This window comes from Homo sapiens, chromosome 11, assembly GCF_000001405.40.
Source record: "Homo sapiens chromosome 11, GRCh38.p14 Primary Assembly".
NCBI classification, from domain to species: Eukaryota; Metazoa; Chordata; class Mammalia; order Primates; family Hominidae; genus Homo; species Homo sapiens.
This window is the reverse complement of record NC_000011.10, coordinates 24,496,192-24,512,389: the sequence shown is the minus strand read 5'-3', so window position 1 is coordinate 24,512,389 and position 16,198 is coordinate 24,496,192. Positions and strand designations below refer to the sequence as shown.

Sequence of the window (16,198 nt, the reverse complement as noted above, 5' to 3'; positions counted from 1 at the left end):
TATCACTTTGATAAGTTATTTGGCATCTATGAGCCTCAATTTATAAAAAAATGAAGGTTTGGAGTAGATATTAAAGACTCACTGAGATCTGAAATGTTAGAATTCTAAGATGGTTCTTAAGGTTTATACTACCAATATTCTACCACCACCGCTATTTGTTTTTTCAGCCTGTGACAACCACCACATTCCACATTCTTCAGCACCTTCACCTTTTCCTTTGCTTCCAGCACCATCTTGGTTTCACTTCTTCCCCTGTTCAGCCCAATATACATCATCTATTAATCACTCTGTTATCATAATCATGGCATCCCTCTCCCAGTTGGACAAAAGTATACAGAGAAACTCCTTCAACTTTCTTTATTCACTCTCCCCCTGACAGATACTTTCTTCTAAGGAAGAGAATTTTGGAAAATGCTAGTCTCTGATAATATAAGATCCAAACATAAATATATGTGGATACTAGTGCATATTATCACAGTGTAATTCTGAGGTTAGCCTAAATAAGAGACACTTCGCTAAGACTTAGCATAATTCACTTAAATTTTTAAAAATCATCTATATCACGTTATTTAAGTGTTCTCTTTCCACTCATCGGAAAAAGTTCAAGAAAGAACAACAAAGCAAAAGGTATGAATTAGTCATTTAGTAAATATTTAAGCACATAGTTAAGTACTTCATATGTCTAAACCACAATATAAATCATAAAATACATATGAACTTTGCCTTTAAAGTAGTCACCTCAGATAGCACGCCCTAAGTTCAACGTTTAACCATTTACTGATATTATTTTATCATTGGTAAATATCTAGTCACATAAAGATTATTACTTATGAATACTCCTATTTTAGTGCTATTCCCTAGTTCTGTCCCTATCTGTCCCTATCTCCTAGCAAATATCCAACTGATGTAAACTTTTACCATCCCTGTAAGCTGAAATAGTGATTCTAATCCAAAATCTTGCCATTGTATTTTTTTTTATTTTTTAATTAATTAAAAAAATTGTAGCGACAGACACCAGCTTTCACATCACCATAAATTGTCATGTATAACAAAATGATATTTCTTGTCACCAACATCAGAAAGGACTTTGAAGGAAACCTGCTACACATCATTTCACGTAAGTTGTGGTTTCCAAAAATCTGTGAATGGCATTAAATAAGGGCTTACTATACACAAAAAAGACAACTTCCTTTGGAGCAACTGAATCAACTTACATAGCAGAGAATTACATAAACAGTCAGAAGGGAAGGCACAGACAGTATGACAGAGCTTCCAATATATTCTTACCTGAATATATGGCAGAGGTAAGAAGGCTACAAGTCCCAGGCTCCATTTTATATGGGACCAGCTACTCTACTAAGACTAGCAAATGGGGAGTATTCATAAAAGGAAAGCAGTGTGTCCTTCCTCCATGCTGCTATTTAGAAGGATGATTTGAACTCTCGTGGCCACCTTGGATCACGAGGGCAAAGACCTCAACAGAGCAACAAGCTGGAAGGAGCTGGGGTCATTACTGACATGGCTAACTTACCCACTTGGCACAGCAGCACAGAGTCAATGGCCAATGGTCCACAATACTTTCTTGGCCCACAAATATTTTAAATTTCTTTTAAAATTAGAATTTTTAAAAATGAATTTTTAGCTTGAAGTAGATAATATTAATATTTTATTCTTTATATGAACATAGTCACAAAACAATATGTTATATAATATAAATGTGGTATACGTATATATATTTAACAGAGTAAGGGTTGATGAAGTTTAAAGTAACTGAAGCCCATGAAAGTTAGAATGCAGCTGTTTGCCCACTTGCTGGCCATGGAGAACCAGCCAGCCCTGGATTTCCTACCTGTTACATAACTTATGTGTGAGAGAACTAAATTTATATCTTGTTTAAGGCATTGTAATTTGGGATTTTCTGACGCATTCCAAAAAACCTGAATCTCAACTGATTAAGGTGGCAAGGGTTGCAGGCAGGTACTTACAGGAACTTATGAAATGTACCCAAGACAATATAGAACCAAAGCCAATATGGCAAAACATGCCAAACATTGCATAGGCACCATCTTCTTTAGTCCTGCCAGGCTGGTACCTGTGGCTTCATCTTCCAAATATAAAAATGGGTAGCATCACAATTTAAATCCTCAGTACACTCTGCTCTTTCGTTTTCTTTCTTTAAGACATAAGAGCTAGCCATTGGGTAACTCTGCCTCCTTTGCACCCCAACTTTCAAGGTTCCAAAGCAACTTTGGTGTTGTGAATGGGGAATTCAGAGCGCTGGGTTTAAGCTACCTGGCTGCCATTACTAAAATTCTCTCCATCTATAAAATGAGGTTATTATGAATTGCTACATAAGATGTTGTGAGGAGTTATGAGCATGTATAACAATTAAAATTAAAACACTATAAAAATGCCAGGTATTATGTCTCCCTCACACATTGCCCACTACCTGTCAAAGCTGTCTTTGAGAATTCACTTAATGTTATGTCACTCAAGTAAAAGAATATATAGGGGAAATGTATACATTATTAAATTTGCAAGTCTATGCTCCTTCGAGAGAAAGGTAGACATAGAGGAAACACTGTAGTGATTACTGGAATCAAGCTAATGATAGTGTGTTACCAAATAAGCCTACTTTCAAGGATAAGTATTCAGAAAAATGCAAGGTATCTATGAGTAATATATTTAAAATAGTTATTAAAATATGCATATAATATATACTACGGAATATATTTATATATTCTGTGTATATAACATATAATATGTTATATATAACCATATTTTTAAGGATAAGTATTCAGAAAAGTGAAAGATGTCTATGAGTAATATATTTATTAAAATATGCATATAATATATACTACATAATACATATACACATTATATATTACATATATAATCTATATACTACATGATATATACTATACCATATATAATATATACCATATGTATACTATATATATCATCTAGTACATATTATATACTTTTTTTAGATACAAATTTCGAGGCAAGTGTATCAGTCTATGAATGAGTTAATTCTAGAACAGTTATGACTGTACTATACTTCACAGTGCCATCTTCTGATTACCAGTGGAAGAACAGTTCCAGCCAAACGACTTTCTAAGAAAAATCTGGCTGTTATTATCATATGGTAAGGCTCTCAAGACAGACCAAATGTGAATGTTGAGTTTGTTGCTTTTCACATCTCTAAAACCAAAGGTGACCCTATTTCCTACATGGAAAGTCTTGAGGTTCAGCATGCAAACAGCGGGCAAGAACCTACTGTGCACTGAACCCTCACTCATCGCACATGTCGCGTGTGTATGACACAAGTTCTTTGTCCCATCATTCTACATGTAGTCCCAACAGCTCCTTAGTTTCTGAGTTACTTCCCAAATATCTAGCCATCAAAAATTTTATTGCTAACTTTTATTGTCTCAGGATCCTGACCTTGAATTAGAATCCTGAGTCTTATGTCTATTAAATCATGGGCTCAAGTCTCATCTCTACCCCTTTTTAATTTTGTGACCTTAGATATGTCAACTTCTGTAATCCTTAATGCCTCATTTTGTAAAGCAAGCACTTCATAAGGCACTGAAAAGCATTAAATAAAGTAACCTTAGACAAATTTGTAGTACTGTTCTTACACATAGAAAACAAGCAGTAACCTTTAGCTACTGTTATAAATTATTTTTAAAAATTAAATTATGAGTCTGAGGAACTGAGACAGCTACCTGGAATCACACAAGTAGAAGATACCAAGCTATAATTAGAACACAGGTCAGCCTGATTCTACACATTTGTTCCTAAGCCCCACAATTAACACTTGGAAGACATCTGGAGCCAGGCAGTAGAAAACCATAGTTCACTGGTATTTTTTAAAAAACAGCCTCCACACATAAAGATATTACCATGCTAATATATGATTATTTTTCTTTTACCACAAAAACAAAATAAATATTTTAGTTAGAACTTTAAAGAAAGGATCTTCTGTCACCTTTAATTGTGAGCTTACCTGAGAAAAAGTAACATTTTGCCTTCCTTCTTTAACTGTATATAAAATTTTGGCTACTTATTTATTTGCGGAAGGGCATGCAACTAGAACCCACAAATGAAGCCAACACAAAAATTTAAGGCCATTCCAGAGCTTCACTTTATATCCTAGGAGGCACTGTAGTACAGTGATTAAGAATGTATGTTCTAGTGCCACCTGGCCTTTGAATTTAGACTCCACTGCTTACCAGTTATAATGTTGGCCAAGTAATCTAATCTCATGTGCCTTAGTTTCTACATCTATAAAATTAGGGCAACATCAGTAATCACCTCAAGGTTTATTGTAAAGATTAACCTGGTTGATGGTATTATATAATTGCTAAGTACTATTCATTTATATTATTATAAATATTATATTATTATTTATATTTTGAGTTTCTTTTTTCACTCTAGGAGAATTAACTAATGATACAGAGTTTAGGCACTAGGGCAATATGACTGGCATAGTTGCACATTCTATTTAATTCACACATTTCTTAGAAAAAAGTGTTTAACATCATGCAAAACCAACCACCATTTAAGGGGAGTAGGGAGAAGATGATCAAAACTTTAATTTTTACCACGTAAATATTACTTCTCCTCATTTTGAAAGTTCAGATTTCCTGCCCCAAGTAGCCTAGAACAAGCATTTATATGGCTTCATGTGTAGGTCTTGGTTTTTTTGCCTCTTTATTATATAACTTGCAGTGATAAAAGCTAGGGAGGGAGAGAAAGTTAAGTGTGAATTCTTTGTAGTTTATCTCAGACATTTCACCTTTTGTCTCATATTTTCTAAATACACTATGCCCCCTGATAAATCCATGTAAATATTTTACACAATTTATTTGAGCATTTTCTCAGCCCTTTAAAGAAAGCTATGTGAGGCGGATAATTATTTTCATTTAAATTGACTGATAAAAGCAGCCTGGAGCACAATGAGATCCTCATTTACTAAATGTATTTATACACATGTGTAAAGGTGTGATTTTTGCCAAAACATCAACATCTTCCCATTCTCCTGACTTCAGCTACAATTTGCATGTTGAGTAAATGGTAAAGAGATGAAAGTATACTAGAGTTTATAGTTCTGCAATACTAGAGCTGTAGTTTCTAAGCTCTCATATACATAGGAAGTTCCATATTAAAATGAAAATTCAATGTCTAGGGTAGGAACTGAAATATGTATTTTTAAGGACCATCACAGGTAATTATCATTCAATTAGAATGAGGAGCATACTTGGAGAAACTAAATTGAGAACATGTATTACCTGGCAAACTTTTGTATTTATAATAAAGGCTTTATTTGGCTGATTTTCAAACTAATGAATATTTTAGCTGATTTATTTTAAGAATATTTTTAATGTACTCTGTCTCACCTATTGAAAACATGCAGTCCTTTGCCAGTATGGTTTAGCTTCTGCTTTCTTATTTGTAGTACTGATTATTACTTTCTTCACTGTACATTTATACAGAGACTAGATTCTATATAGGCAGCCTAATAGTTTCATTCATAAAGCCATTCTTAGAATAATGACCTAGGGTCTGGCCAATTTTTAGCTGGGGGAATATGGGATAGTCATTTAATGAGTGCAAAACTTAGGGGTCCCTAGTGATGAATCATATATGAATATAATGTGTTGTCATAGGTAAGGATTAAGTGACAAAGAGTAAGTAGCTAGCACTTCTACACACACGATTAGTCCTCAGAAATCTTGGTCTAACCTGTAGGTTATCATTCTATAAAATGGCCAACTGAAATAAAGACATATAGAGAACACACAAAAGGGATTTGATATACTTCAATATCTTTCTAAACTGTCATGTCAGAAAAAGAAAAAATTGCCCCTCACTTTTCTGTGTGCACGCAGAAGGAGCTAACATTTTTCTCTGTGGCATCTGAAGGAAAAAGCTACAACAATATAAAGCTGCTTCTGCCCATATCTGTGTCTTCCTAAGATGTTACTCCAATTTTTCATGCATTTTCTTGTTTCTTTTATAATTCAGAGACTTTCCCACCTTTTCCTGCCCAATGCTTAGTTTACTTCAAAGGCCAGAAATAAATGACCGCAAGCATTAGAAAAGAGAAAATTATATATAAAGAAAAAGCTAGTGATTGGTGCTTTCCCTTCCTCTCTTATAGTATCTTTCCAAGCACGCTACATTCCAATAGCTCAAGTGTGCTAAGTTTCTCCTTTCCTTCTACCATCCTAGTCCCTCTTCTGGACCATTCTCTGCAGGTCATGACCAAACTTATCCCATTGTAGGATTACTTAATTTTAGAAGTCCAGGACCTTCAACTTGTCAATTGTCTTGTTAATGTTACGCTGTCCTTGTTTTATGATTTACACATTTAGTCCTGCCACCTGTAGGTAATCTTGAACAATGAATCCTCTTTAAAATAATTAATATGGAAATATAATTGTAACAATTATTTTATACCTATATTTAATATTTACCCATATTATAGCAACATAATTTGGAGCTTCAGGCACCAGATAGAAACGAGGTCAGGTAATACTGTCTTTCTTTATTTTTTTTTCTCTTAAAAGCCTTATAGTTGTTTAAATTAGTGTTCCCAACTGGAATTGGTTAAGATAATAGAGAATTGGCTTCCACATTGCCCCCAAATTATCTGCATGTTCTTGAAGGAAAAATACCATTTTATTTGTTTTTTTAGTTTGTAATAAAGGAGGTTAGGCATGAGCTCCACAAACTCTTCATCAACAATTCTAACTTGTCTATGCCACATGAGCTTTTCTCAATGATCTCTCTTGCTGAAATGCATGTACAATCTGGTAGGGTAAAATTTTAATTAGATAATGTAGACTGTCGATATAGTGAGCTGTATTTCTCTGTGCTGGATGCTATTCTTTATACATTAGCTTATTCAATCCTCTTGACATATCTATGAGAGAGGCACTGTTAAATATGGCTAAGAGATGTTCATTGACATTTCTAAATTCATATAACAAGGAAGGCTGATTCAGAGTCTCCGTTTGAGCTTGGATTCTTTTGGATTTAACCCCATGCAACACGACAAACACCTCTTGTCATCTCCATTCCTCCCCTAAACTCCCCGACTCCATTTATCAGCACTCATGGAATAAGTGATTCTAGATGGTAACAGTATGTTTTGAATCAGAATCTGAAGGTCAGAAACCATCATAACCCTCTGGAGGACAGGCAGGAGGAAGTCAGAAGAAGTCACATCCTCCACAGGGGACATGAGATGAATGTCCCAGAATCTGATTTAGCCCTTACCAATACCTTAGCTCTGAAAACTAGTTTGGAAGACAGCGAGTCACTGCCCACTTTCAGTCTTACTCGTTTTCAAGCAAGAAAGGAAAAAATAAAAAGAGGAACCTGAAGATGAGATGCCAAATGCTTGTGACCTTCAGTTATTAAATTATCGGTGAGAATTAGAAATTAGAGTAAAGCATTTTCTCTGCAGGTACTCTCTAAAATGCATTCTGTCACAGAAATGGGTAATGTTTCACATCTTCATGAAAGCCATTCATTGGGTTAGTTCCCCGCTTGCCCTGGCCCCAGGAGAATCTTATTAGAAAATAAATTATAATTTTATAATTTTGGCTGTACTAGTCTAGAACTATGAAATTAAGGACTTCATTTATTTTGAATTTAAAAAAAAATTATTAAATTACATGCTGATTGCTTGAGGTGTTCTATATAAAATAAACATATTAAATCATCATATCTATGTATAGTAATAATGAACACATCTTAGCATATTCTGAGGGACTACAAGGCACAGCTATGTGCCCTGAGACACACTTAAATACATTTTATTTAATTTTAATGGCCCTAAATATTAGATATTATTGTTTTACTTTTTACAGAGGGGAAAATTAAGTTTCAGAATGGTTAAAGAACATATTCAAAGGCAAAGAGCTTATAACATGTGCAGGTGGAATATTCTACAACCATCTGAACCTAAAAATGTTATATATCTATAACTACATCATCACACAAACTGTGACGACAGTGTAGAGAAATGTAAACCAAAGAAAATGTAATGTAACCTTATATTAAAGCCAGGTATGAACATATTTAGGAACACATCTTTGCAAGATAGTTAGCATGCTGCCCATTGAGAAATACCACAGTTTCAGCACAGATTTATCAAGTGAGATTTATATCAGCAAATGTCTGAGAACTATAGTTACAGGAAATACTTTCAATGGAAAGATCTCAAAGGCACCAAAAATATCACCTTACAATAGAACTGAAAGGTCAGCAGGAACCATTATAGATGTATCTTATGGGAGGTAAATGGTGTGCAATGATGAGAACTCATTAATGACTCTGCTTTGAGTTTTGAAAATGACCTAGAATCTTATTTAGGCCAGCTCATTCTTCAAAAATCTACTAAACACAGGATGTTCAACTGCTTATTACTGTAATTCCCTTTGTCTTACGGCCTGTTGTTCTATGATGATTACATGTGGTGCAACAATTTGTTTTTAAGTTATTTTATACTCCATAATAACTAGAATAGTTCTGGATTCTTCATAGGTACTAACTAGTCACATGTTGCTTAATTACAGAATAGCTATGTCATAGTGAACATTCACATAACAGAACAGAATGAATATAGTGGAAAGTTCTGGGTTCTAGTTTGTTTCCCTTTACGACCTTGGGCAAGTCTCAGTCACCCTGGGTTTCAGTTTTCTCACCTCTAAATTGTAGGGCTTTGGACTAGAACACATTCTTGTGTTCACAATATGTGTCCCAATCGTAGGCTTTTTAAAGTACACTTAAAGAGATTAAAACACTGGAAAGCAACACCAAACAATTCAGACATAATTGCAATGCAATCACTACCTATGGTATAATTATGTCTCCTAGGGTTTACGAAAGAATCCTCAGAGAACACTGTTTACTTGGGTGACCTTCACCTTCTGTCTTCATACTCATGAAGCAAAGTTCTTAGACGTCTTAGTAAATATTTGCACTTTCTCTGATGCAAGCTTGACATGATCTGTACCTTTCATCTACTCTTAGCGGTAAATTACACCGTTTTCTATGATCCACTCAGTTCATAGATGTCATTGTCAACACATTCACATTCACACAGTAATCTATAGCAAAATAAAGAGAAATATATTTTTCATGTAATAGTCAGAATGTTATTACATAATTGTGAAAAGTTTATGATAATGTATGTGCAAACTAGTTGATGGTCAACAACCACTAAAGCTATTTTAAAACTGACTTAGTATAAGATCCCTTTCATATGGTCATTTTCAAAACTACAATGGTTGGGCTGCCTCTATATCAGTGATTCTTAATTTGTTCTCCGTAGTAAAAAAAAATGTCAATACTATCTTTTATTCCTTTAATTTTTCTAAACATTTGTACCTTTTAAATGTTGCTGGTAAATGATGAAATCAATGAAGAAGTAGAAAATAAAGTCATAAAAACTTTCAAGTCTACCCTACCTATATAGTTTGAAAACTTCCACTTTTATTCCTTGACACTTGTACTCACAGCTTTGATTTCATATCAAAATTTATAGCAATTACATTTTAATTAGGTATACAAACAGACAAATATTCACTTTTATGCTAAATCTCATTCTAAGTCATTAAGTTAAATATTCCAGATTTTCATGGTGTTCACCAAAGTGTACAGCACCATCAAAAACACTTTGGAGGGGCTGGGCACGGTGGCTCATGCCTGTAATCCCAGCACTTTGGCAGGTCGAGAGGCGGGTGGATCATGAGGTCATGGGTTCAAGACCAGTCTGGCCAAGATGGTGAAGCCCCATCTTCACTAAAAATACGAAAAAATCAGCCGGGCATGGTGGCAGGCGCCTGTAATCTCAGGTACTCAGGAGGCTGAGGCAGAGAATTGCTTAAACCCAGGAGGCAGAGATTGCAGGGAGCCGAGATGGCACCACTACACTTCAGCCTGGCAACAGAGCAAGACTCCATCTCAAAAACAAACAAACAAACAAACAAAATACTTTGGAAAAAAACTAGCCTAATAACCAAATAACCCCCATTATACCTCTGACTTCCTCTCTTCTCTACCAATCATTCTTTTCTTTTGGATGATGACTATGCTTCTTGTTAATTTCATGTCACCTAATTGATTTGTATCTATATTTTTTCTTTTTTCTGCTATGGCCAAATCAATCACAAAGATTTTATAAAAATAATATTAATAATACCATAATAACTGTACAGGCTAACCTTTGTTGAGTACTTAGGGAATATGCTAAACTGTTTCCACGGATGAACTCATTCAGTCCTTACAATTGAAGGCTGTTACCTTCTCAAGTAGGTGTTATGGGGAGGTCTGTGTTCTACATCAGAAAACTGGATAGAGAGGATAAGAAGTTTACCTAATAACATATAGTAAGTGTGGCAGGATATTGAGGTTGATCACAAAATATTTTTCTTTTCAATATCCTTGGAAAGTAGAAGTTGCCCCAGACACCACTTAATTGGCATTATTAACTCTTTGCTTCATTCACACTTAGAAATTTGTGTAAAATTTTGTTGTTATTTACCCAATTTTGTTTTATATATCATTATTTGTATGTATGACTAGATTATGGATATACATAACTAATCTATTGTTTTATTGCCCTGATGGTGCATGTAATAACTGACTGATAGCAGGCACATTCTTACTGCATGATAATGAAACATCAAAGACATGTCTACAGGGATGAAGACAAGTTCAGAGAGTCTTTTTGGATTTCTCAGAAAAGGAACCATAATTTTAAACAGTACCTGTTTAATCAGGTTACTTAAATGATTTAGCACCATTTGTAAAAGGGATTTTAGCAAATCTTCTAGAAGTCACTGAGAAACAGCCGCACACATAGTTTCTTATAACACACACCAGAAAACATTATTTCATTAGAACCACGCATTCCTCATTGGTTTCAGTGATCTTTGCTTCTTAGTTAGAAGGTCAAGTTCTTCCTTTCAATTACATGGAGTTTGGTTAAGGACAACTGTACAGACAAATCAAATATTTGAGATGTCCCTATCATTAATCACAGAGAAAATTTAATCCACAAAGATAATCACCAGATAAGTCATTTTAAAAACTGCTATTGGAAATAGGTGACTAAGGTGCAAAACTGCAATGTAAGAAGTCAAAATATTTGTGTGTTAATATCTTCTTAAGAAAGCCATACCTCTATCTCATTTACATGGAAGGTACAATTTTTATCACAAATAAAGGAACGTAGGTAGCATCCTGTAAAATGTCATGTGTGGCAGACACTGTGCACAGGACTTAGGAAGCAAACCCATGTTGCCTCAAAATATTTCAGGAGAGTTAAGGTGAGACTGCTTCTTGCATCAAATTTATTTGGGTAAAAATATTTTTTGTGTGTTCTCATTGTGTTTATTGTGATTCTTGTCCTTTATTCTACAAATCAAGTTGATCTTGAGGTTAGTTTAATTCACGGAACAAATAGCCCGGGGCATCTTCAATATATAGTATCATCTAAAAATAGATTCCAAAATAAACATGTAGTGTGACTGCTGATCAGACAGTCCAGGAGAGACCTCTAAGGTGACTCCTGTTGGGAGGACTATAACCGACCATCTGCTCAAAGTTCTTGCTTCATGGAAAACCACCAGAAGTCAATAGACCTTCACTCCTCCCCTGCCATGTCTCTCTCCTTATTAAGTCATTTAAAAGTTAACAATCCAAAGGCATCAAGAGTATAACCACAGCGTAAAGGAACAGAGGTTCAGCAGAATAAAGCATGAGCCTTCTCCAGCACTCCATGGGTCCCTTTTCACCAAGAACTTCTAAAGAATTTTTCACCCTACCATTACTTTCAATACCTATACTGCTTCTTTCTGAAGTGAATTACTGCCTACCTTGGAATAGCAATTTAATACTATACAACAAGGCTATCTTAAAAGTATAGTCATTCTACTCCAAAGCTATTAAACCAACATGTTTGCTTTCTTTGATCACATTTATTTGTGTACAGTTTAAATGAGTTTCTGTATTAGTTACATTATTCATATCATTAACTTGATTTTTTTTGGTAATTTATATGCATTTTCTAAGCAGGAGAGACCATATGCCAGGACATTAAACAGCTCTTTTTCTTTGTTCGTTTTTTAAAACTCTATGGGGTTTACCAGTAAAACAGAGAAAAATGCTTGGCTTTTGTGTAAATTGAACATTTAGCTTTCTTTCAGGACAAATACATTAACTCTGATTGGGGGCCATTGATGTTCACTGTGATTAAATTATGGGATTTTGTGCTTCAGCATCTAAAGTTGCTTCAGAAAAGGTGAGAAGGAGGAACAAGCAAAAAGAGAAAGCTATTCAAAAATGTCTATTTAAAAGGCAGGATTGTTTTCTATTCAAAAATTTCTGTTTAAAAGACAGGATAGTCGCTGTGGGCTAGATACCATTAGACCTGTTCACAACACAGTCAAAAGACTACCTTTTCACCTGCAGCATTTGTTTCACTGAACAGATTACTTTAAAATAGAACTGAACTTCAGACCTATTGGAAATAAAATAGCAAAGTATTAAGGCAATGCACTCAGAGAAAGATATAATGAAACAAATATATATATATATTTGCATTAAGAGTCTCCGCTCTGCATTCCCTACACTTTGGAAAGAGTTTGACAATAAAAGACAGGTGAGATTACCCAAAGGCTATAGGAAAAACTAGCAATTACCACCACCTGCTAATGCATCCAGCGTGATCTAAACATGTGAAATACCATTTGCTTCACATACAGGACTACTGACTAAGAAACTAAGTTAACAGAAGTCTTTGGCCAGAAAACCCACTGTCCCAGGTGGCCATGGCTGAGCTACTCAGCTTTTCCCAGCAGGACAATAAGCTCATCCCTACTAACACAACTGTCCTTTCAAAGCTGCTCAGTTTAGGTTCTAATCTGCACAATAACCATGTGCCTATAAGAACTGTTAAATATTATACACAGAATGGCCTTCTGTTAGAGATCTTTAAAACATATTCTCTTCTTTGCAAAATGACACTGATAGTACCGCATTGCTTTTCATATTTGTTCAATATCACAGGGTATTCTGGGTATCCAGTAAAATGAATTCCTACAGAGTAATCACATTAATAAGATATGCTACTTATTATAAATATTTCATCTTTTTCAAGCCCAGCATTCTCTTCTGGTAAAATTTAATAACCATAGTTTTCACATACCACAAGCATTGCAGAAGTTTCAAAGCTAAAGTGAAATAGATGATTATTCCAGTTTTTGTTGTAATAAGTGTGTTAACTATTTTTAAAGAAATTTATCCCTATCAAAATCAACACTTTCATGAAAGGAAAAGATAATGGCTTTTTGACCCTGTATTAGATATCGAACATTAAATCTTTGGACGCTAGAGACTATAGAGCTTTTTCATTCAATTTAATTATAGTATCCTTAAAAAGCAAATGTACTTTTGGAACTCTAGAGATGTTCACAGTCTAAAATCACTGTGGGCTGGATTTCTATTGTTTAAATATTTCCTATTATTTATGCATGTGTTGACTGTCATCTACTTAAGTGTCCAAAGTTAGAAAATTTCCTTTCTCTAGAAGACTAAATCACAACATAAGAGTGAATGGCAAGAATTTAAAGAATAACTGTGATGCATAATTTGTATTGAACTGTTGAGAGCTAACCACAAATATTAAAATGGGCTCTGTATTTAGAGCAACTAATTATAATACTGGGAAGCAAACTGGTTTTCTTTAAAACCATCTGCACTTTATGAGCTGAAGTGACAAGCAAACCTTACAGAAAATGAAGAATCAAACTTACATTTCATTTTAATCTGGGAAAGTCACCTGGGCTTTGTTTGCAAGGAAAGACTAAATTTATCAATTATTGAGGGTAAATGAAATAGTCTCTACACTAAAAGGAAAGTTTGGTTACACAGGCCTGAAAGAAGGTGTGTAGATTAGGAACGGAATCAAGAATTTTACAGCCTTGATTTGTAAGACAGAGTAAGTTTTCTTCATCCTTTTCCATTTCAGAATTAGAAACAACCCTATATCCCTACTTTATTTGCCATCAGATGCACAATCAAATAATGTTTCTATTCACGTAGACTTGAAAGGATCTTCATCCTGTGTGGGTTATTTTATTTTATAGTAGCCAAGGGAAAGAGGTTGCTGCCAATATGATGCTAAGGGCATGCAGAATAAAGACAGTCCTGGGCAACTAAACAGTCCACCTTTGTGCTGCGCTTGTGGAAGAAAAAAGCAAACCCATCACAACTTTGGGACTTGATCAACAGTGGGGAGTCACAAAACTCTTCTCAATCTCTGCATTTTAAATCTCCACCAAAAATAGCTCCTCTGTAATGGGGCTTAAAGTCCCATCCATGGCCAGTGATGGAGTACAGTACTTAATTGTTTCTGACTAGGGTCTCTGCATCAGCACTCTGAGAGTGTCTTCTAACTTTTAATCGCCTTCTGTGCTCTTTAATTAGACCTGTTCACAAGACAGTCAAAAGAAAACGCCTATCACTAAGCTTATCCAAGACGTTGAAACATGCCATTTCAGGAGTCCAGGAACTTTTGTACAAGTCTTAGCATCTTCCAGGATTAATCTGTTTTCTCTGGTTTCCTCTTCCTTAAATCAGGCACACTTGGGGGAAGGGAGAAGCTCTATGGTTATTAAGACAACTCCAATGTAAAGACACTGCCTGGTGGCAATTCCCTCCTTGCCTATTTCCGTTCTTTATTTTGTTCTTTTACCGCGTGTTACCTTTTGGCTACTAATAGGACCGGAGGGTAAAATGTCTTTTCTCTCCTTCGGAAGAGAAAGCTTTTGATCCCTCACTGAGAGCAATCCTAAGACTTTCTCCAGGGGGCTGGGATAACTAGGAAAGGGCTCTGCTCTCTCAGAAGGATTTCAGAGCCCAAACCATACAGCGTCCCTCTTGCTTAGGCGGGAGATGCAAACAGCTGAAGTGCCTTGGCCCCCACTGGTGACCCACAGTAGGACCAACCTCGCCCCGGCAGCGCCCCTGGCCTCAGGTCACTCACGCTCCTGGACTCACCTGGTGCTGAGGACCAGCGCAGGCAGGAGAGGCAGCAGGTAGTGCGCTGGGCTGAATTTCATGCTGCTGCCTGCCGGGGTCCTCCTTCCCTCGCTGCCTTCTCTCTCTCTCTTCGGGATCCTGTCGCTCCTTGGTGCCCGGCTCTGTCCCCAGCCAGTGATGAGCGCTCTTCCGAGGCGGAAAGGCGGAGACGGGCACACGAACGGACGCCTGGGGAAGGCAGGCGCTGGGAGCGAGGAGTATCTTCAGGAGTGATGTCACCGGCGAGGCGAGCCCTGCCGGGGATTGTTCGGCGCCGCCGCTCCGGAGCCCGGAGGGCGCGCCGTCACTCGCGCTGGAGGCGGCGCGGGGAGAGGGAGGGGGCGCCTCGCGATCGCCCCGTGCGCTTCGGTCACCGGGCTGCGCTCTGGTCAGTCGGGTGAGCACTGGCCAGGGGCGGATCATTTATTCCCGCTGCTCCCCAGGATGGCGCGGGGCGGGGCACGGAGAGTAGAAACCTAATCTGCCGATAATTGAACTTGCGTACTCGGCAGGAGATGAGACCCAATTCACTGGGAGAGACTTCCAGACGCGTAGGGTCCTAGGCAGGTGTCTCTCGCCGCTTAAACCGTGTTTGGAAGAACGTCGCTCTGGAGAGAGTGTTTAGAAGATTGTTCTAATTAGAACTGCATAATGATTTGCCTGAAACAGATGGAAGGAAGCGGGAGTAAGCAGCGTCCAGAAATGCAACCTCAGCCCGTCATGGCATTGCAATCTTCTTAACCCGTGAATGTTGACTGCAAAGAACCAAAGAACGTTTCGGGACCGTTAAGACATCTGCTGCTCTGGGTTTTGAAGATTTCTGATCTTCCTCTGATTTCAGTCGTCTGTACCAGCACCTGCCAATGGGGTTGGACCTGGTGGCTCAAGTTCACACACCTGAAGGAGTCCTTTTCCTCAGGTGAAACTCATCAAGGAGACCTAGCGGACAAAAACCATTAAAATGTTAACAGTAATCAGCTCGGAATGATGGTACTGGAAGGTAGAGGTTTTGTAGGTCATTTGGTTTTCTATATTTTCAAATGTTCTATCATAAGCATCCAATATTTAATAGGCTCTATTTAGAAATTTTAAT

General features: G+C 36.7%; 1 protein-coding gene across 9 annotated transcripts in view; it reads right to left on the bottom strand.

Moving 5' to 3' along the window:
- Positions 1 to 15,337, bottom strand: part of LUZP2 (leucine zipper protein 2) — a 585,586-nt gene extending 570,249 nt beyond the window's left edge. For all 9 annotated transcript variants that reach the window (NM_001009909.4, NM_001252010.2, NM_001252008.2 and 6 more), the window contains exon 1: positions 15,085 to 15,337. In NM_001009909.4, coding sequence (NP_001009909.2) covers positions 15,085 to 15,146 — 62 coding nt within the window. In that variant the 5' untranslated portion in view covers positions 15,147 to 15,337. The remainder of the gene's footprint in view (positions 1 to 15,084) is intronic.